Here is a 23,540-nt window from a genome sequence, read left to right on the forward strand (position 1 = left end):
CTTGTCACAGCCCTCTAATACTAAACTTATAATTTTATACATTTGATGACTGGGAGAATTTCCATCACCAGCTAGCTTCTGGCTCTATACTCAAACCTTGCTATTCCTCCACTACCCACATTCTTCTGGTGCTGGGTGCCATGGGTTCCATTTGCATGGTGAGGCAACTTGGCCTACATCACTACATAGGGTGTAGGAGCGCCCCTGGAAGCCATTCCTACGTGGGGATGGTGTATTAGTCCGTTTTCACACTGCTATAAAGAACTTCCCTGAGACTGGGTAATTTATAAAGGAAAGCTGTTTAATTGACTCACAGTTCCGTATGGCTGCGGAGGCCTCAGGAAACTTACAATCATTATGGAAGGCAAAGGGGAAGCAAGCACCTTCTTCAAAAGGGAGCAGGAAAGAGAGGGTAAAGGCACAGAAAAAGCTACCATTTATAAAACCATCAGATCTGGTGAGAATTCACTCACCATCACAATAGCAGCATGGGGGAAAATGCCCCCCATAATCCAATCACTTCCCTCCCTCAACACGTAGGGATTATAATTCTTGATGAGATTTGGGTGGGGACACTGAGCCAAACCAGATGGGTAGCAAGATGTGTGGAAATGACTGTGAGCCATACCTATAACCCCCTGAACCCCAATTACATGCATTTCCAACTCAACACTGCATGGCAACTTGAAGGCCACCACGCAATAGAAAAGGCTGGAGGGAAAACTGCCATGAAGAGAATCAACAGTCATAACTGACTGTGGTTTTACCACCATTTGCACATTTTACAGAAACATAGGCCCCCGCGTAAACGTCCCCAGGGCTTTGGAAGGGCCAGTGCAGCTGAGGGCCCCAAAGCCTAAATCTCACCCGCTTCAAGGTAAATCTGCCTCAGCCTTTACCCAATTTGCCCTCCTCCCCCTCAGGAAGGAGAATTTCCCACAGAGAGGACACAGAAGCACAGATTTTTTTTTTTTAGACGGAGTCTTGCTCTGTCGCCAGGCTGGAGTGCAGTGGCACAATCTCGGCTCACTGCAACCTCCGCCTCCCAGGTTCAAGTGATTCTCCTGCCTCAGCCTCCCAAGTAGCTGGGACTACAGGCGCCCGCCACCACACCCGGCTAATTTTTTGTATTTTTAGTAGAGATGGGGTTTCACTATGTTGGCCAGGATGGTCTCCATCTCTTGACCTCATGATCCACCCACCTCGGCCTCCCAAAGTGCTGGGATTATAGGCTTGAGCCACCGTGCCCGGCCAGCACAGATTTTTAAATGTGTATGTATCCAGTTGCCAGGGCAGCTGGAACAAAGTACCACAGACTGAGTGGCTTAAGCAAAGGAAGTATATAGTCTCACCACCTGGAGGCCAGAAGCCTGAGATCAAGGTATGGGCAGGGTTGGTTCCTCCTTAGGGCTGGGAGGGAGAATCCATTCCAGGCCTCGCCCAGCCTTATACATAACCATCTTTTCCCTGTGTCTCTTCACATCGTCTTCCTTCTATGGGTGTTTGTGTCCAAAACGTCCCCTTTTCAAAAGGACACCAGTCATACTGGATTAGGGCCTATTCTAATGACTTCATTTTAACTTGTTACCTCTGTAAGGATCCTATCTCCAAATAATGTTACATTCTGAGGTAATGGGGGTTAGGACTCTAATGTGTCATATGGTAGGAGGAGGACATGAGTCTACACATAACAGTGAAGAAATGCAAACTGGTATGTGACTCTCTGCAGAAAACTGAGGGAGATGGAGAGAAACCCAGAGAGACTCACAGGGAGGGAGAGAGCTGTTACCTTGTTTACATTTTGCATTTAGAAAAATTACCTCATTAGCTGTCTGTCTGCATCCATGCCCAGCTGCAAACACTAAATCAATCATTTGGGGATCAGGTTGCCTTTCTTGGACACCATAAATGGCACATTTTTGAATCTGTTTTGATTTCAGTGGCTGTCTCAAATGTCAAAATGATGGAGAGGACAGAGAGACTGAAATCTGAGGACAGATAGAGAAGAGGAGACTTCTTCAGGCTGGAAGAATCAAGACTGCAGAGTATGTGAAGGCCCAGAGAGGATGAAACAGAAAACAAGGACCGGGCCCTAACCCTGGATCAGCCCATGAAGGTTGTCCACTTTGCCTCTGAGAGAGGCAGGTTAGGGACAAGTAAGTACTATTTACCCAGGAGGCAGTGAATCTAGGGAACTCCCAAGAAGTGACATAAGGGCTGGGCGCGGTGGCTTACACCTGTAATCCTAGTACTTTGGGAGGCCAAGGCGGACGGATTGCCTGAGCTCAGGAGTTCAAGACCAGCCTGGGCAACACAGTGAAATCCCGTCTCTACTAAAATACAAAAGAAATTAGCTGGGCGTGGTGGTGTGTGCTTGTAGTCCCAGCTACTCAGGAAGCTGAGGCAGGAGAATTGCTTGAACCCAGGAGGCAGAGGTTACTGTGAGCCAAGATCGCACCACTGCACTCCAGCCTGGGTGACAGAGCAAGACTCCGTCTCTTAAAAAAAAAAAAAAAAGGAGTTACATAAGGGAAAAATATCAATTCAAGAGGAGGTTCCATACATTATTGGATAATAAAGATGCAGGCACTCCATATTCTGCCTGAGTGGTCTCCTCTAATTTGTTTCTGGAAGTCCCCAGAGGTAACTTGCAGGTGCTCAGGAGCAGGTAGATCCTGAAGCAGCCTGGCCCTTGGAGGGAGGTTCACAGGGTCCTTCGTGGACCCTACTCTAGATGTTGAAGTCCAGCTCCCGCTCCCTCAGGACTCAGGAACAAACTCCGTGGGGAGAAAGCGGAGATTAGCCATCATAGCCCTGCACTGTCCTGCCCCATTTTAGTTCCTTCCTCCTGTAGCCAGAAGCTCCTAGGCCTACTGGTTCCTGCAAACTGAGCCCTGGAGGAAGCCCCAGGCCTCAAAATCTGCAACCAGCTGCACTCTGAGACTAGACTGGGCTCTTGTGGAGACCCAGCCACAGGAAAAACCATGCTTACTTCCCAGGGTTCTCTTGAGGATCACTGCACTGAGAAAGTTATCAGTGTGGCAGGAATGAAAGCCCCATTAGCATTAGAATCAAAGGGCACCTGAAAAAAGACAAACTGAGCTTGCAACTCCAAACAATCATCATTACAGCAAAGCACTCAGAATCCACCCTATCTACCATACAAGTATCTAGGCTGTGTTTTCTTAGGTCAGTTTTGTTTTTAACTGTGTAGTGAGACCCATTGCTGAGTCATAAAATCAGTTTAATGAGTCACAACCAGCATTTGAAAAAAATAAAACAGACTAAAAATCAGAATGCAGCACACAGATAGAGCTTGATGAAACTTGTGTTTCTTTTACATATATGTGCATATGCACGGAGACAAAATGTAAATGTTTTTCATACTGTGACTTGAGGTTAAAAAAAGAAAAAAAGGTTGAAATGCACTGATCTAGAGTATAAGCCCCTAGAATAGTTGAACCTGAATGCCAATGTGCAGCAGAACTAGCTGGGGAGTTTGTTAAAATGCAGATTCCCAGGCCCCACTCTCCAGAGAGTGTTGAGGCTGTATCTTACAGTGGGGCCTGGGACTCAATGTTTAACAAGCTCCCCAGGCGCATGCAATACATCTGGCCTGTGGAACACAATTCAGGAATCACAGTATGAGAGGAAGAAGCCATGTATTTGGTAGGACTGTAATGTAGAAAGCCTGAGTGACTCAGAAAGATGCTTGTTCCATCTTAACCCAGAGACTGGAGAAATAGGCAGAGGAGCAGGTATCTGGGCAGGGAGTCGGGGTGACATCAGTATCTGGAAGGATTCGTCACCTATAGACCATGCTTGTTGTAAATTGTGCTTATAGGATTCATAGCCAAGCACAGGGAAGGGATAAATACCTTCCCATCAGATGGGTTTTACTTAACCCTATGTATTGTGACTTACTTTCCAGTCTGACTCTGGCATAACATTATGTGACAAAGAAGAAAATCAAAATATTTTACCCCAAAACATGTTTCTTCACCGTATTTTGAAATGGCCCTGCAAAGCCGTCCTTGGTGGGGGAAAATCTGCATCTGTAAAGAATCTGTATTAACACAGTTAGATCTTTTTCTTCTAGCCATTCACAATCCTCCTAAGAGATTAACTAAGAGTCTAGCATCTTTTAACAGTCTGAATAGGAAACATTTGTCATCTATGTCTCTAAGGGCGGCCACTATAAGACTTCAAAAGAACCTTGGTCTCCACAGTCCTTTATCTTAACCTGAACATTTCCATTCTATTAATCCTAGGTCTTTAGACAAACTCAACCAATTGTAAACCAGAAAATGTTTAAATTTACTTATAGCCTGGAACCTCCCCCCATCCTTCGAATTGTCCTGCCTTTCTGGACCAAACCAATGTATTTCTCAAATGTATTTGATTGATGTCTCATGCCTCCCTCAAATGTATAAAACCAAGCTGCACCTCAACCACCTTGGGCACATGTTCTCAGGGTCTCCTAAGGGCTGTGTCACGGGCCATGGTCACTCATATTTGGCTCAGAATAAATCTCTTCAAATATTTTACAGAGTTTGATTCTTTTCGTTGACACTTTCATTTCTTATATGTCGTGATTCTAAGAGCATCAGGATAGAGGGAGAGGTTGGAAGACAGATGATCTCAATCACGTCTGCATCAATTAGAGTAGTACTTTTCAAAGTGCGGATCACGGCTTATTAGTGGGTCATGAAATCAACTAAGCACTTTGAAAAATAGAATAGAATGCAACATAATAGATAACATCATGGTGTGTCGCTTATAATAAAGATGTTTGATTGTCTACTGCCATAAAACAAAACAATCCAAAACTTAGCGGGCTTAAAACAACATTCATTTGTTCATGATTCTGCAGTTTGGCAGGGCTCAGTGGGGACAGTTCATCTCCGCTTCATGGGCAGCAGGTGGGGTGGCTTAAATGGGGCTGGAAGATTGATTTCCAAGATGCCTCATTCACAGGGCTGGCAAGTTGTTGCTGGCTATCAGCTGGGAACTCAGCTGGGACCTTGGTGCTTCTCCAAGTGGCCTCTCCGTATGGCTAGTTTGGGCTTCCCACCATATGACAGCTTGGTTCCCAGGGGAAGCATCACAAGAGTAAACCTTCCAAGAGGACACACTTTCCAATAGGCTAGAGCTTACCAAGCCTTCATTTGGAGGCTTGGACCCTTGCTAATGTCTCACTGGCTGAAGCAGTCCAGATTCAATGTGAGAGGGGACCACAAAATAGCACAAATACTGGGAGATGGGGCTCATTGCTGGCCACAAGGGTAAGCATATTTTCTTTTAAAGGGCCAGGTACAGTGGCTGGTGGCTGTAATCTCAGATACTTGGGAGGCTGAGGCAGGAGAATTGCTTCAGCCCAGGAGTTTGAATTCAAGACCTCAGTGAGCTATGATCGTGCCACTGCATTCCAGCCTGGGTGACAGAGCAAGACCTTATCTCGAAAAAAAAAAAAAAGAAAGAAAGAAAAGAGGGGTGTGTGTGTGTGTTTTGCAGTTGTATATCTGTATAAGTAATGGGTAGCAATGGAAAACATATTCCTAATAGTTAATCACAGTTCAGAAAGTTTGGGAAACCCAGTAGCAGAGAGCCTTGGGACACAGGTAGAAGAAAAACTTACTTTCCTTGGTTTCTGTTTCCCTGAGACTTCTCTGTATGTCTATCCCTACCTGTCCATTTTCCTAATAACTTCCCCTTTTTCTTCTTTCTCTTTTATTCCTTTCTCCCCTTTTCTCTTCTTTCTCAGCCCTAGTGTCTCTGTCACTGAACCCTTTTTTTTACATATCACCTTTCACATTCAAATATCTCCTGCAAACATATGCACACACAACCTTAATATAAGCTGGGGTCCCATGCGACCCATTCTCTGCACAGCATCACATATAAATGAGCACAGTCCAGTTGCCAAAAGTAATTTTGCATTTATTTCAATTTTCCTGCAGCTCCTAAAGAATATTAACAGAGATCCTATATAAATTCCACAGACAAACTGTGAAATTCCTTTCTCTTTTCTCACAATCCCCACCTGGCAACCGCTCTGGGGCCCTTCACTTGTCAAACCCACAAAACTCTCAACACTCACTCAGCCCAGCAGGCATTCCCCAACCACCTCCCTCCACTCACTCCCTCTTTCTTACCATAACTCACCTTAGCCTCTCTGGTTCTAACTCTCCCCCCTGTGTCTTGATTCTGTGTCACAAAATATCTGAGAACGCGATTGAAAAACATTGAACTCAAAGAGGGAAGGAAAGACAGAATCTGAAGGAACAACAAGATTCTCTTTCGTTACAACGACTTGATGAGTTATAAATTTCAAAAAATGTGGTGTCTTAGAAAAAGCCCTGAATGTTGAGTCAGGAGAAATTTATTTTAGTTCTGGCTCTGCCGCTAATTAAATGCATAACCTTTGACAAATCATTCAGCTTCTCAGCCTCCAGCTTCCTGATCTCCGTGATAAGTAATGATCCCCATTTCTGACAGTGGTTGTGAGGACTGAACAAGCTGCTGTGTGTGATGTGCCTGGCACACAGCAAACAAGTAAAAAGTGAATTCCCCTTGTGATTCCTCACCTGTAGAAGAGGGCAATGATGTATGCCTTGCTCACCTCATAGGGTCTCTCTAAGGATCAAATTAGAAAATGCATGCAGACACTCTTTATAAACCACAAAGCCCAGTAATGATAATGTATGATATTTTTTGCACTTTATTGAATGCAAAAATCTCATCCTAGTCATATGTGTGCACAATGCCTTTTTCATTACAGGGCTCATAAATAGCTAACATTTCTGTGTGCCAATTATAATTATAAAAATGTAGGGAAACTACCCTTCTTCACTTCCCACCAGCACCAACAACAACATACACCTTGAAGTCAAGGGAATTCTCCCTTCAAGTTAATGAAAAAAGACTTTGTTATTTAACCCAAGTCTGAGGGAAGGGAGCAAAGGTTTCTTAAGCTCAGTAGTTCTCAAAGTGTGGTCCCTGGACTAGCAGCATCAGCATCCCCTGGAAAGTGTAAGATGCAAATTATCGTGACCCATCACAGAGTTACCTACTCAGAAATTCAGAAGGGTGGAGCTCAGCTATCTATGTTTCTGATGCACCCTCAATTTGAAGTGTAATAAGGTCAGAGGAATGGCAGCAGAGTGGATGTGACTCTCCTATGCAGATCTGATAAGGTTTTTGGCAGGGAAACCAGCCCTTGTGGTGTACGATGGTGTACCTGTTTTTAGACACTTAGGGACAAGAAAATGAAAAATTCCAACTGGAGCACAGTATAAAGGAGCACCAGAAGGGGTTCCTTCCCCTCTGTGATAGACTGAATGTTTGTGTCCCCCTAGAATGCATATGTTAACATTCTCACCCCAAGGAAATGGTATTAGGAAGTGGGGCCATTGGGAGGTAATTAGGTCCTGAGGGTGGAGCCCTCATGAATAGCATTAGTGCCCTTATAGGAAGAGACAGAGACAGCTTGCTGCCTCTGTCTCTTCTCTCCACCATATGAGGATACAACAAGAAGACATCTGTCTGCAAACAAGGAAGAGGACCATCACCAGATACCAGATCTGTCACTCCTTGATCTTGAACTTCCCAGGCCTCAGAACTGTAAAAAATATATGTCTGTTGCTGGGCACAGTGGCTCACACCTATAATCCCGGCACTTTGGGAGGCTGAGGCAGGCAGATCACAAGGTCAAGAGATCGAGAACATCTGGCCAACATGGTGAAACCCCGTCTCTACTAAACATACAAAAATTAGCTGGGCATGGTGGCGGGCACCTGTAATCCCAGCTACTTGGGAGGCTGATGCAGGAGACTCACTTGAACCCGGGAGAAGGAGGTTGCAGTGAGCCGAGATTGCACCCCTGCACTCCAGCCTGGAGACAAAGCGAGACTCCATCTCAAAAATAAAATAAAATAAAATAAAATATATATATGTCTGTTGCTTAAGCCACTCAGTGTATGATATGTTTGTTATAGTGGCTGGAGCTAAGACACCCTCTTTCCTTGGGCTCAATGCTCTCCCCCAATTCTTTGGGAGAAAAACAGCTGTTGCCTAAGAAATGTCAAGTGAGAGAATGGCTTTGATTCACAGACCATGCCAGGGTGATGAAAACTTATAAGACAGAAGCATGATCATGATGAGGATGAGGCAAGTGAGGCATCCAGGGTGCAAAATTTAAAGGGCACTTACTTCAAGTTTGTACAAGTGCAAAGTCAGGAGAAGAGAAACCTTCTGCTTGGAGGGGTAGAGAGTCCTGAAACCTGCGAGGTCAAGACTGGGGCAGGGGGGTTACATGAGGAAAGAAGGGGGCATATTTATGGGACACTCTGGAAACATAAGGAATATTCATCATGGGCCATCTCAAAAGAATAGGCACCAAGGTTTTCTCTTGCGTGGTCCAAGGGGACAAGTCTACTGGATTAGAGGGCACAGAACCCATTGTCCAGCCCCTCTGCCAATCCTGTATGCTACAATTGTCACTGAAGAGCTTGATTAAAGACAGATGGTTCTTCTCTGAGTGTGCATTTATGTGCATGTGTTTCATTTCAACCAAGGCAGTAACAGGAAATGAAGTACAGCCATGGTTGCCCCATCGGTGGCAGGCAATAGTGATATCTTCCATGTGACAAAGCAATCCACGCTGATATGACCACCCAGCTGGAGAAATGGCATGCAAGACTAACATCCTCGACTTCCCACCACCCCAGAGGGAAGCTACAATTATACTGTGTGGGTCAGAAGAAAGGGAGGCAAGCATTCATTAGGTAACAATAATGATGGTAATAATAATGATAACAAAACCACTTTAAAGACTACCACTTAACCAAGCACTTATCATGTGCTCAGTTGCTAGGCACTGTGTTATCACCAAATCTGTCATCCCACACAGTAGCATGTCCACTTTGATCAGAAGTACATGAGCTGGGTCACTACACTGCTTGACCCAGGAGCGTTATTCAATAGACTACATAGTCTGTAGCACTGTGCAATGCCCAATCTGAGGGCCTTGGATGGCCTCCCTGAGGCTGCGACTCAAAGATGTTAAGTGACTTGCCCAGGCCACATAGTCAGTTGGTGACAAAGCACCACCTGTGTCTGCTACAGACCTATGTAGAAAAGAGGCCATTTTGTCCCATGGATGGGCATGGGAGGGGAAGGGAGACACCAGCTACGTAAAGATGGGAGAGTAAGGAGGAAAAGACAAGCCAGTGAAATCGTAGCAGCCAGGTATCAGAGGTAAGTAGCAGGCAGCCAGTGGCCCTCAGAGTGAAAGTGGAAGAGGGGATCAAAGGGTCCTCCCTGGCCACTTCCACCTACAGGAGGTCAAAAATGGAGAGAGGGAAAACAGGTTGATATCCTGAACCTTATGGGGCTGGGCTTCATCCATTCCTTTCATGAATATGCACAGACACATGTGCAAACACACACATACACTGAGCTGTACCATGAGCAAGGCACTGTGCCGAGTGTCAACAATTTTAAAAGATTTCACCCAGCTCCTGCCTTTGAGGAGTGCATGGTCCAGAGGAGGAAGCACGTGATAGCAGTGTAGTGTGAATGGTGCTGGAATAGGCTGATGGAACCTCATGAATGCACGGAGAACAGAGGCCTGGTGCCACCCAGTGTGGACGAGAGGATGGCATAGCAGGACTAAGAGGTAGCCAGGAGCCAGCTCATGAAAGGCCTTATATGCTGAGCCAATGCTATTGAGATTGGACTTTGTCTTAAGAGCAATGGGGAGCAACTGAGCAGTTTTGAGCAGGACAGTGGAATTATAGAATTTATTCTTTGAAAATATTCCTCTGGCTTCCGTGTGGAGGAAGGATTAGAGGTGGGTGGCCAGTGAGGGCTTTGCAGTTATCCAGCTTAGCAGGATGGAGCACTGCCAACCCAACCAGAGCAAATGGGGAGGCCACCAGCCTCACCCTGACCCTGGACATGCCCACCATGATGGGAAGACACAGACTGTTCCACAACAACCCCTTGGACCCCAGCCCAGCCCTGGAAGAACCATGTACCTTGACTGGCAGGGAAGCCTCCACTCCGGGCCTGGGCACACATGGGAGGGTAGGGCCCCATGCTTGGTATGGGCTCAGGCTAGCGCTGCTGCCCTGGAGTCAGAGCTGTGTAGAGAGGGGCAAGCCCCACTCCCAGAGAGAAGGAGCCACATGCCGTGATGGCAGGTGGTCGGTGCAGACCCTCAGCTGTTGGGGGAGTGGTCGGGATGCCTGAAATGTCTGGGACCGAGGTTCTGGGTGCAGCCTGGAGAGTTGGGGCTGTGCGTTCTTGTTGCCATTGTTACATTGGCTCATATTGCTGAGTCCTTATTCATTAGGCTGTTGGGTACTTTTAGACACACACACACACCAGTCTGGAGCACAGAGAAAACTGTCATAGGCACTCAAAATTAGAGCAAGTTAGATAAAGGGGCCAGTAAGTACAGACCTCACATGCCCCCAGTGGTGGATTCAGGGGTCACTGATTCTATCCATTCCTACAGATGAACAGGATAAATATACCTCCGACCCCGTCCAGTTTTTCTATCCCATTTAATCACTCCTCAGCTGAGAAAGCCAGAAACTCATTCCTGACGTGGCTGACAAATGCTGGGGAAATCTTTGGTTTTCTTAGAGTGAGCCTCTCTTTGTAACCAGAGAGCAAGAGAAGGAACAGGGCCTTAAAATCACTTCAAGTGGCCTGTGCCTGATCCTGAGGTCCAGAGAAGGAGAATGACTTATTCAAGATCACAGTTTAATCATACATGCCTTTATCCATTCACTCAGCAAACACAGTTCAAACACCTACCACTTGCCAAACCTTCTAGATAGTTATTACCAACATAACCAAGCAAAGTATATGGAATGCCAGATGGCAATGGGTACAGGAGAGAAAAATAAATTGGACAAGGGGATAGACAGTGCTTTGGAGGTAGAGGCAGCTTTAAGTAGGGTCACACTAGAGTGAAGATCGCAAGGAGGTGAAGCTTATTCTGGGGGAAGAATATTCTAGGAAAAGGGGACAGTGAGTGCAGAGTCCCTAAGACAAGGCATGCTGGGGCGCCGGAAGAAAAGCAGAGGATGGTGTAGCTGGAGAGGAGGTAGCCAGGAGGTGAGTTGTAGGAGATTAAGTCAGAGATGTGCGAGGTATGAGGGAGAAGTTCTTTTGTAGAGACTTCACCTTGACTCTAGTCGGATGGGAGCCCATGTGGGCTCTGAGCAGAAAAGGAACAGCTCTGACTTAGGATTTAGTTGGCTGCTGTGCTGTGGATAGACAGACAGTTGGCAAGCCTGAAGTCAAAGAGTCCATGTAGGAGATCCAGGCAAGAAATAATGGTTGCTTGAACCAAGGAGGCAGTAGTGGAGGTGGGAAGAGGAAATCACACAGAGTCTGGCCAGATTATGGAGGTAAAGGCAACAGTATTGACTAAAGGACCAAATGCAAGATGTGAGAAGAACAGAGTCAGAATGACCCCAAGGTTTTTGTCCCATGCTGCTAGAAGGAAGACGTTTCCCATTAGCCATGTTGGAGGATACCACAGGAGAATGGGTCTCTGTTTGAGCATCTTATTCAAGATGCCATTCAACATCTAGTGAAGGTGGACAGGAGACAGTGGACACAAGTCAGGACCTCAGGGACCAGGTCACAGGCAGAGCTAGACCTTGAACTTCAAGATTCACAGATCACACTGCTTCTGACTGAGGAGTGACAGAAGTGCCAGAGCAATCTCACCAGCTCTGGAATGTTCATCACTTGACGGCTGGGCTGGCAATGAAGAAGCTCCATGCAGTCTTTGGGACAACACTGCACCAAGAGACCACAGCAACAGGGGAGCTCGCAGAGTAGAACACTGGCATTCAACCCAAAGCCTCACTGTTTCCAGATACAAGTGAAGGTAAATTCCCTGCCCCTCCCCCTGCCCCACCACATTCATCCATCCTTGAAGAACTCCTGGGAGCTCACTGGGAAACTCACTGAGCAGTGAGTAATATGGTTTTGCTTAAGCCTTGCTCAAGTAGCAGAATAAGCAAGTTTGACTAAAATTCTCTAGATTCACAAATCCCAAAGCCCTAAACTACAGAAAACAGACTAGTCAAGAGAGAGGAAGCTGTCTGCTGGCTATTTGTGGAGCATCACCCAATCAATGAACAAGTATGCATAGACTGCTGGGTGCAGAGGGAGGGGTGTTTAAGGGATGTCTTAATCGGGTTTTCCAGAAGCAGATCCTGAGACAAGGATTTGGTTGCAAGTAGTTATTTAGAAAGTGAACCCAGGAAGCACCAGTAGGAGAATGAGGAAGCAAGACAGGTAATGAATGTATTAGTGAACTGATCACCACTGTGAGCAATTAGGCTCAATTCTACTCTAGGAGGCTGTACAGAATGTATCTCAGGGTTGTCCCACCAAGGGGCAAGGAAACTGAGGTACTTATCCACTAACTCTCTTTTGTTGTTGAGTGTTCTTCCCACAAACCTTAACTTCCAGGCACTTCCAGTTTGTCCCTTTATTAAGCTGACCAATCTCCTGAGGCCAGAGAAAGCCTTCCAGCAGAGACCAGCAGGTGTTTCCAGTAGGACACTGTCTGTGTGTACTGAAACCAGAGTGTCATAGGGAATTAGAAGGACGCAGCACCAACCATAATGGGTTTCACAGGAACTGCCTGGTCTCCACAAATAGGGACTCTAATTTTGGTCTGGATTCTAAGAACCACCTTCACCCCAGTAAATAGGACTGAGATGACTTTTATCATTCCTGTAAGCAGAGATAGAAATGCCAGAGCAAAGTCTCATTGGTCCACACAGAAAGAAGGAAGCCTCGGTGCTCTTTAATTGGAGACCAGAGCTGTGGCAATTCCCAACCAGTGTCAGAATTTTGCAATGTGTTGGAGACAGGCAGCCCTCCCTAGGAATCTACTGAGAGACCCAGATCTTTGGGCCCTTAGTGAGTGTTTGAGTAAATAGGTAAGCAGTGGCTGCGGCTCAGGCAGGAGGGTCCTGGAAGTTAATGTCCCAGCACAGAGCTTCAGCCCAGACCACAGTGCCAACATCCTAGCCCTTCTGGTTAATAATTATCCCTAATTCCTTAGCGTGGGAGGCCTGGAGATGAAAATCACAACTCTCCATGTCCTCATCAGTCTGTTGTATGTGCATGTGTACCAGATACCTACATGCAACCTCATGAAATTCCAGACATTCTCATCAACAAATCCCTTTGTCATCTTCATAAAATCCAAAGTTAAAGGGCCCACCCTAAGAATTGTGACTCATAGATTCCTGGATGGATCAACTCTATGTGACTATTAGAGCTAGTTTTCTCATGCCCATATTGGGCAAAACCTGGTAAACAGCACCCCTGTCTCTCCCTCCCCAAAATTCTGTCTGGATGAGCAGTCCCTTATGTAACAAGCTAAAACCTTTACAACTGACCATATGTCAGGAAACAGTAAGGTGTTTACAAGATACATGAGAGGGGAGTCCCTGTCTTTCAAGAGCTCCTGAGTCCTGCCAATGAACACCTTAAGTACCTGCCCTTTAGGGGATACTTGCTGAAATCATTCCTTGAATAGAATGTTAGAATGGCAGAATGACAGTGGCTGCCACCGATAGGTCAGAGCATTAAGGACTGGGTCTTTTGACCGACCCTAGGATCTCTCTTCAGTGGAACTCTGCCCCCACCAACCCTATTCAGCCTCCTCCTCTATGCTCAGGCAGCTACTGCTTCTCAGCCATCAGTACAGGCTACCTCATTCAAGTTGAATTTGCAATGGCTGTTGTGGTTTTTTGTTTTTCTGACCATGTGGGGAACTCTCATATAGGCTTTGGAATTATATAGTCCTGGTTTGTCCAAAGCACTCTCCACAAACAGGCTGTGTGACCTTCAAATAGCTGCTTAACCCCTCTAAGCCTGTCATCTGAAAGTAGAAATGATAATGATAACATTAGAGTAAACCACATGAAAGTGTCTTTGTAGGTTAAAAATTGTTGAATATTGGCAGTCTCATAGGTTCCACCTAAAACCTTTGTGGGGTTCTGGGGAAGATTCGGTAAGAGAATATATGTATTACTGCTAGGGCCTCAGATCTAACTAGTTTAGGACCACAGAAGAAGGTCACGTTCCCCTTAGTGTCTGAACCACATCTCCTGTCAAATATCTACAGGATAGGAGTTCGAAGTCTATTCTTACAGGATTCCCAGTGATTTCAGGAATCCTTGTGGCCTCTTATTCCCTCCCTTGTGTTCCCCTCATAAAGATGTTGATGTTTATTGTGCGTTTACTCTCTGCCAAGTATTGTGCCAGGCTCTTTGTACATAAACATCGATGTACCTCTCTACCCATGTGAGGTGGGTGCTTCTACTATCATCCCCCTTTCACAGATAATGAAACTTTAGATATGAGCTAAGAGGAATGAAAAAATTAAAAATAAAAAAAAAGCAGATAAGGAAACTAAAGTGCAAAGAAGCAAAATGTTTTGCCAAGGTCACAAGGACCTCAGGGTCCGTATGGTTGTAAGAAGCAGACTAGGCCCTAAGGTTTCTTCCATGTCTGGCATCCTAGGGGGTTAGGACTGCCACTGAGATGCTGAACAAATGATAAGGCAGGCACTTCCCCGACAAAGAATTTGTGTTGGTGGCAGGAGGAGAGAAGAAAGCTGCGACCAGGAGAGCTGAGCCAGGAGCTTTTGCCCACCTCATCATCTAAATGAGCATCAGACTCTCAGGTGTTGCAGATAAAATCCCCTGGCATGTGATCATAGGTGACATCTACCCAGCGCTCATGATGGTAATGCCAGGCACTACTCCAAGCTCCTTACATGATCAATCATTTAACCCTCACAACCTTGGGGTCTAAACAGTACTGTTAGTCCCATTTTACAGATGGGTAAATTGAGGTATGGAGCTGTTAAGTCACTGGCCCAGGATCACACAACCAATAAGTGACCCAGCTGGAGATGGAACACAAGCAGGCTGGCTCCCAAGTCCATGACGTGAACCATACCAGATACTGCCTGTCAGAAGTGTAAACAGCCCTGTCTCATAATCACCTCCTTTGATTTGGAAGCCTAGACCAGGGGTCAGCAAACTATGGCCTGAGAGATTCAGAGCTAAATCTAGCTGACCAACTGTTTTTATAAATAACATTGCATTGAAATACACCCACATTCATTTATTTATTGACTGATTTGCAAAAAACAAGGGCAGCAGTGAGTAGATGCAAGAGATCATAGGCCTGCAAAGCATAAAACATCAACTTTCTGACCCTTTATAGATAAAACTTGTTGACCCCTGACCTACAGTATGCACCTAAGGTGTGTCCTATGTGTCCTAAGATGGCTCCGACACTTGCTATGTGACCCCAGACAAGTTGCTTTCCTGAATCTCCATTTCCTCATCTGTAAAATGTGCTTGTGGGAATTTGGTGAGGAAGTGTGTGTATGTGTAAGTGCCTGACCCAAGGCAGGTGTTTGATAAGGGTTTGCAGCTATCATTGCCAATAGTATGATGAAAATTATGACTGATTCCTATGATATCACTGAAGACAGGGCAGAGACCTTTATGGCCACTTTATGGGCAATGAAACCCTGGTGCAGAGAGAGGATATGGTGAGAGGCAGAGCCCAGGTCTTCCCAGTCCAAGTCCTGCACTCTGCTGCCTCCTTTCCCCCGCCTTCCAATCCATAGCTGCCCTAGTCCTCATTTATGTTTGCCAGCGTGCGGAGCAGCCCTTCTGTGTTTGTGAGTTTTCGGCATCTGTAAGTACCCACAGCCGCACAGAGCTCGCCAGCACAGACATTTGTCAAAGATGACATGCCAGTCATCCATGCCACCGGAGACAGTGACAGATGCGCTCTCCAGCCCCACCATCCAGGCAGTGGAGGATAGATGGGGCCTTGGCACCGGCGCCCGCTCTTGGCCTGGCATGTGCAGGGAGCTGCAGACCAGGCAAGAGACAAATTGCAGCCTGGTCAGTGGGCAGGAGGCTCAGTGTGCATGCAGGCAGATGTGGCTGCAGCCTGCCCCTGAACCAGACACCTGCCTGCCCTCCCCAGTGTCCTAGACCTGCCCAAATCTGGTGTTTGCTTAAGATTTGTATGTGGTCACTGATGAGGAGGTGAGTGCTCACGGGCTTTGGGTTGTTTCCAATAATAATAGTGACAATGGCTGATGCTAACATATGCTGCTCTGCTGTTCTAAGTCCTTAGCATACATCGAGCTCTTTAATCCTTAGCCATCCGGTGGTGGAGGTACAGGAAACTGAGCCTAGAGAGGTTGGAGGCCTCTTCCAAGTTCACACATTAAGTGGCAGAGGCAGGAATCAAATCCAGACACTCTGGCTCCAGAGTTCAATGCCCCTCAGGACTACTGTCTAATATTTGAGAGCCTGGAGTGGAGGAAAAATCGTGACTAGGCAAAGGATTCAGGTAGGCAGGGCTCACCACTAACCTGAGTGGACAGGAACAGGTTGCCCTGCCTCAATTTTTCCACCAGAAAAAATGAGCAGTGGCTGCTATTGCAAGGCCCTGCAAGGTCCCAGACCAGCTCCAGGGCAGGCCTCTCTGTTCTTCTGGGACCCTTGGGCACTAGGTCCTCTGCCGACACACATTCACTCCCTCCGCCTAATAATCCCAACCCAGATCCCCTGGAGTATCATCTCGTAGTTCATTAAACCATCACCTCTGTGTCCCTGAGGCAAGCTTGCAGTCTGTTGAGATTTTGTAGGGATGTTTATGGCTAGTGGCAGCAAAGGGAACAGACCACATAAAACAAAAAGAGACAGTATGAGCTCTTAAAAAGTTTCCAAAGTCTGGCATAAAAGCTCCCACAGGTGTTTCATTCATACAAATGACCAGCTTCCCTCCGCTCTGGATGAAGGGTTTGGAAAGACCAAAGTCTGGTTCAGTCCAGCCAGTCTCCTATTGTGGGACCTTCCTTGCGAAAGTACCCTTCTTTCTCTGAGCCTTGGTTTCCTTGTCTGTAAAATGGGTATAATGATAGTACCTATCTCATAAAATTATTGTGAGGATTAAAACACAAAAAACACTTAGAACAGGGCCCGACACAAAGCGAATGCTCAACAAATGCCAACTGTTCTCATTCTCTGGTTTTTAGTTTCCTCAGTGGGAAAATGAGGAGGTGAGTTTTGTGCCAGGTATGGGCTTCTGGCTCGAACATTCTGTGACTTCATGATGTTCCTAGGGTGCTTCCTTGTCTCCTCCCACTTGCCTGAGTCTTTCTTCTTTGTTTCTGTGAGCCCCAGCCAATTAGTTTACTCACAAGTGTAGGGTAGAGAGAACTACACAAACAGGAAGTGTTACCACTCATACTCACAGTGGTGAATCATTCCAACCTTCCATCAAGTGGATCCACCTCCATTGGTCGACACAGCTGGGGAATCTGAGCTACTGTGGCCAGAACTCTGTTGACCACATCCTGCAATGACAGACCTCAGAATCCTTCCTGAACCTTCCATGGGAAGGAGTCTGTGACAGCCCACCTGTGTAGACTGGGCCTCATCAGCCTGAATTTGCTGAAATAAGTAATTCCAGTTTCCCTGAATTCATGCAGAGGGCACCCACGCTGGGAAGGAGTTTCTCTGGCTTTTCAAGCTCCATAAACACTTGAAAAGTCATTTTATTTTTCAATCTGTGGGCAGGATGCCACCAAACGAGGAAGCCTCATTAAACAGACCTTGAAGGCTATTTCTTTGTTGTTTTTTTTGTGGGAGTGGGATGAGGTTTGGTGTTGGCTTTTTTTTCCCCCACTGATGCTTTTTGGATAAACACATAAATCAGCATCATCTATATTCATTAGATATCGTGCCTTGTTCAGTACAAAATTACCCCTGTTTTGCATGACTTTCCCCCCTTGTGATTAATATAAATGACTTAAGTTAATTATGTTTCTCTTCATGGAAAAATGTATTTGTCAAAGTGCTGAAACATCAATAAAAAATAAACACTGTCATTTGAAGAAGGGCTCATTTGCAAATGAGTAGCTGGGGTGTGGGGAAAGGAATGGACTCACCCGTCTGGAGGTGTCATTCTGATTGAGTAGGCACACTTCATATTTACTAACAATGACAAAAGCATTTTTCTTAGTTAAGCACTCACAGGTCCTGATGAGGTAGACTGATGTCATCATTATTAACAATAATGACACCTCAGGCGTAGAGAAAACAATTTTCCTTACTAGAGAAAACTAACGCTGGGTATTTTACCATCCAGACCTCCAAAACTAGGCCCAGCATGGGGACTTTGCAGGAATAGACCAAGAGGCAAATACAGATGATTGGAGTGGGAGGGAAGAGAAGTGAAGAAAAGCAAACCATGGAGCTGGTGTGGCATCTCAGAGCAACATGGAAGCTTAGGGATGAGACAGCACAAACACCTCCCTGGGCCAATGACAAGACTAAGAACCAGAGAGGGGACTTGCCCCTTGGGTAAACAGCATATTAGTGGCAGAGCCCAGAGAGAACCCAGGACTCTTGACTCCTAGACCCCCACCCTTTCCCTGCACTCTGCTGCCTCCCTTGCCACCAGGGATCAAAGGCTCCCCCTCACTTGAGTAAGTGGTCAATGGCACCAGCAAGGTGCAGGGGCTCAGACTGCTGGACAGTCAGGGCCCCAGGGAAATCTACAGGTTACTGACTTTTTTCATGGTATCTGGAATAGCCTTTCCCCACACTGACTGTCTTAGTTTGGGTTTCCTGAAGGCAGACCCTGAGACAAGATCGTAGGTGCTGGTGGTTTATGTAAGAGGTGAGCCTAAGACACCAAGTGAGGTGGAGAAGTGAGACAGGGAAGGGAGAAAAGCCAATACAGGGCACATGTATGAGGGGGTTACTGCTTTGGACACTTGGACTCACTCCCCCCAGGAGTGACTGCAGAGAATATGCCTCTGAGTTGTCCCGGTGCTGGACAGGGAAGCAGAAATATTTATTTACTGACCTCTGGGGACTTTAATTTCCAACCCCTCTGGGTCACCCTGTACCTAAGCTGAGCAAACTCCCATAGTACCAGAAAAACCCAGAGATCCAAAACCCTGAGCAGGTGAGTGGGAAGCGCTAGTGGGCACAGTCACTGTCTATGGCAGATGCACGTGAACCTGGAGGTGGTATGGGGGGATGTGGGTGGGGCAGGCATGTTATCTACTACATCACCCTTATCTAAGTGCTCCCAGCCTTCCAAGAAATCCCCCCTCCAAGTAAACATGATCATCTTGTCTTCTGATGGTCAGAAACCATTCATCTGGCCACCTTATTTTACTTATCTTCTTAAATATTATTTCTGTCACCCTAAATATACTGTAAAGCATTCAAGGGCAAAATTAAGGCCATTATCATTCTGTCATTCAACAAATACTTACTGAGCACTTACTCTGTGCTGGACTATCTTTAAGGTGCTAGGAATATAGCATCAAAGATAAAGAAAATCCTTGTCTTCAAGGAACTTGCATCTTAAAAGTAGAGCTAGACAATAAACACATAAATAAATGCTATAATTTCAAGTGGTGATAAGTGGCTCAAAGAAAAAGAAAGCAGGGTAAAGGGGATAGCATAATGGAAGTGCAGTACTCCTGGGGACATTTGAGCAAAAGCCTGAATGAAATACCGGAGTAAGCCATGTAAGAATCTGGTGGAATGGAATTCAATCAAAGAGAATGTCAATGCAAAGACCCTAGGGAATAACAGGAAGGCTGGTGTGACACTCAGCGGAGTGAAAAAGAAGGTGGTAGGAACTGAAGAAGGGGACAACCAGATCGTCTAGGACCTTACCTTTAAACAGTGCCTGGCACAAAAGAAAGGTACTCCAAGCTGACTGGATGGATAGATGGGTGGATATAACAGATGGAAGGATGGAAATAATGACAGACTAGTGGATGAAGAAAGAAGAAAACAAAGCAGGTTCTATAGGTAGAGTGTGGTGCCAATGGTGCATTCAAAGCCAGACTTTGCAGAAATAGCAAATATTGAACCCAAAGTACCCAATGAGTAGTTATTAGACCAAGGAAGCAGTTGAAGGAGAAATGTTCCTCTCTGGGCTTCAGCCAATGAGAATCCTAGAAACCTGAGTGTCCTTATCTTTCTTTACATTCCCTGCAGAGGCCCAGCTTCTCCCCTGTGGTGAGTATCCAATAACATTAAATGGTATTACAGTGGATTAATTAAACTTTGGTGGCTGGAAGCTAGTGAATCATTCCCTCCACCACATATTACCATGTTTACTCATCAGGGCTCCATTTTTAATAGCGGTCTTTTAATTAAAGCATGTCACCACGGTCCATTAGGGAAGAATTTGGAGGATGAGATGTGCATGTGGGTGCAAGCATCATTTAATTCAGCAGTTCTTTACTGAGTGCCTACTATGTGCCTGGCAAGTCTTGAGGTACTATGAGAAAATAAGGTGCAAGTGAAGGGCTTCAAGGAACTTACGCGATCAAACAAAGTGAATTCACACTCACGATCAACTGAGGAACATTGGCATATTAATCATTGCTTGCCAACTAACCAGAATTCTTTATTAGTAACTTCTCCCACCTAGTTTAATTTGGAAGAACCAGGCCAATCATAAGAAAAATTCTGGGGCTTTTCGTTTTCAGCAAAATATCCAGGGTATACTGTGGCCTAGACCCTGATGCAGTCATATATCTTTGGGAAAGCCTCCTAAAACTTCTGAGCCTCAATCAGTCTCTTCAAGAATAAAAGCAGAGGTTGTTCTTATCCAGAAATTCTCTAGATTCCAGCTGTAACATTTTCTCATCTGCGACCCTCCAAATCTCCAGGCCCAGACCATGAGGATGGGTTTTCCAGAATGGTGGAAATTTCATCTAAAGTCACTCTAAGATTTTTACCCACCAGAGAAAGATCCTTTTCATTACATTCATGACATTTTGTTTTCTGAATTTTCAAAGAGGACCAAGAAGACCTGTTTGGAAGTAGGAGTAGTTACAATGCATGCACTATGTGTGCACTTAGATGAGGAGGAACAAACCACATACTGCCAGAAAAGCAGGCTCTATTCATGGGGTGACTGGGTAAAAGGCATTGGAACTGGACCCTAAAGACTAGGTAATAGTTTGAGAGTAGGAGAAATGGGGGGAAAGAGCCAATTTTCAGCCTGATTCTAGCCATGTTCCAAGTATGGGTCCCCACTTTGCAACTGCATGACAAGCTCCCCCAGGAGGAGGGACCAGGTCTCTTTTTCTTTTGTCTGAGATTCTTCCTTCCAGCTCTTCACTCCTTAGGCGAGCTCAGCCAGTCTCATAGGTTAGGGCCCACCTGTGTGATGATGACTCCCACATTTCCATCTCCAGCTCAGCACCTCTCTGCGGAGCTCTCTATTCAGTCAGCTACCTGCTTGGCACAGCACTTAGAGGCTTCAAGACATCACAAACAACGTGGACAAAATGAGGCTCCTATTTCTGTGTCCAGTCTGTTGATCCTCATTCTTCAGGTCTCAATGTAGGAGTCACTTCCCCAGAATGTAAATATATATCTTACCCCAGAATGTGTGTGTGTGTGTGTGTGTGTGTGTGTGTGTATATATATATATATATACACACACATATATGAATATATTTGTTTATATATATTTATATATACATATATATGAATATTTATTTATTTATATATGAATATTTATTTATTTATTTATTTATGAATATATATTTATTTATTTATATATATATTATATATATGAAGGAGGGGTCAGGACCTCTCCGATCCCTCTTCTATAAACACCCTAGGTTTTCCTTCACAAATGTTGTCACATTGTCAGGAAATCTTTGTGTTGTGATATCTTTTCTGTGAGGTATTTGATGAATGGTTGCCTGTCTTACTGGATTTTTAAGTCCCATTGGGCATAGATCAGCCCCCATTTACTCACCACTGTCTCCTGAGTACCTGGGACTGTGCCTAGAACATAATAGGCCCCCAGTAAATATTTGTTAAGGGAAGGCATGGGTTCCCCAACCCCAGCCAGTGTGCAAGATCCATTTCCGCATACCACTGGCACACAACATTCAGGCACTGGGAGCCGCACAGTGACGGAAGCTTGAACATTTTCTTCGTGTCAAGTTCTCAGTAAAGCTATTTTCTCACATTGTCTCATGTAATTCTTAAACCACCCTGGAAGGAATAGGTTTTATTGCTGTTTCCATTATATAGGTGGGGAAACATGGCTCAGAGGAAAGTGGCATGTCCAAGATCACACATCCTGCAGGGGACAGACAGACCAAACCCATGTTTTCACCAGCCTCTCATCTCACAAACAACACTAGGTTTGTTAATACCTGGGAACTCTGTGTAAGCGAGGTCCCTGGCTTGGTGTCAGAAGACCTGGGTTTGAGTCTTGACAATGTCCTTTGTAAGTAGCTTAAGGTAGCTCCTCAGTTCCCTGTGAGACACTGCACACAACATCCTTTAAACTGCCTTAAGAAAAACAGCCCTACAAATGAAGACTCCATTGCCACTCCCTTTGAAGCAGCTGCTCTCAGAGTCCTCTGCACTGCCTCATCTGAATTGAACTATCTCCCCACCTTCTCGCAGAATCAAAAACTAGAGGCTGCAGGCTGAAGAGGGCACCATTATTTTGTTTAACTCACAGAGTATTTAAAACTTTTTTTTAAGTTGTTGGGTAAATTCTAACAGGTTTTCTTCAGGGTCCAGATTTTTACCTTCTCTTGAAAAATTAGAAGCTCCTGCAACATCAGTCCCACAGCTCTGCACATCATTGACTGGCATCAATTGGTTGAGCCAAGAGGTAGCCATGCTCTCTCCCCAGTGTGCCACTATCCCTACCTGAGGCTGGGAATCAGGTGTCACTTACCTTGACATCTGTTCCCTTATTTTTCCAACAATGGGAATACATTTTTCTGCATTCATGTCGCTAACAGAACTAGGAAAAGCAAGCCTGGACCACAAGGATAGTGCAGTGAGAGATAATGTGAGTATAATTCTTGATGCAAGTGAAGAATAATCATGAGTTCAATATGGTTAAGTGCATGTGTTTCAAAACAACACAACCCAAACAAGATTCAGCAAAAATACTATCCCCCAGCTCTATTTTGTTATGTTGCCTCTATGACCCCTGTAAGATTTTGAATTTCAGATGCTTGCTTCAGTTAAATAAAGAGTTTTCTAGATGAAGGCATGCAGTAGGTCTCTAACACTGAGCCACTGCCTTGTCCCTCTCAATTAACCTTTGTCTTTAAGTCCCTGTCTAATGCCTACTAGTAGCTAGGTCCCTGAGATTGTAAAGACCCCAAGGCCCCAGGACCCTGAAGAGCCCAGGAAGTATCAGACCAATGAACCAGACCTGAGGTCTCCTGTACTCTTCAGCTTCTGAACTATAGGAGAATCCCAAGGAAAACAGGGCAACAACAACTTATAATAAATAGTAATACTGCCAGAATCCTATTTGTATTTACCAGTTTGCAAAGCACTCTCATTCATTCAACAGTCATATGGCAAATATAAGTTGAGGCTCTATTACAGATCTAGGCCCTGTGGGCGTGATGTTATACT

At 45.4% G+C, this 23,540-nt stretch overlaps 1 long non-coding RNA gene across 1 annotated transcript in view, besides 2 other annotated features; it reads right to left on the minus strand.

Moving 5' to 3' along the window:
- LOC101929555 (uncharacterized) overlaps positions 1 to 23,540 on the minus strand; it is a 144,395-nt gene that overhangs the window by 66,202 nt on the left and 54,653 nt on the right. The gene's annotated exons all lie outside the window — the stretch shown is intronic.
- Positions 2,883 to 3,177: a silencer, noted in NCBI's record as "tiled region #875; HepG2 Repressive non-DNase unmatched - State 22:ReprW". NCBI's record gives its function as "represses a minimal TATA promoter and a strong SV40 promoter by Sharpr-MPRA in HepG2 cells {active_cell/tissue: HepG2}" and the evidence as "EXISTENCE:reporter gene assay evidence [ECO:0000049][PMID:27701403]".
- Positions 4,018 to 4,870: an enhancer, noted in NCBI's record as "NANOG-H3K27ac-H3K4me1 hESC enhancer chr6:40916844-40917696 (GRCh37/hg19 assembly coordinates)". NCBI's record gives its function as "activates a minimal SCP1, AML or CMV promoter by ChIP-STARR-seq in naive H9 embryonic stem cells {active_cell/tissue: H9 hESC(naive)}" and the evidence as "EXISTENCE:reporter gene assay evidence [ECO:0000049][PMID:30033119]".

Source organism: Homo sapiens, chromosome 6 (genome assembly GCF_000001405.40).
Source record: "Homo sapiens chromosome 6, GRCh38.p14 Primary Assembly".
In the NCBI taxonomy this organism is placed as follows: domain Eukaryota; kingdom Metazoa; phylum Chordata; class Mammalia; order Primates; family Hominidae; genus Homo; species Homo sapiens.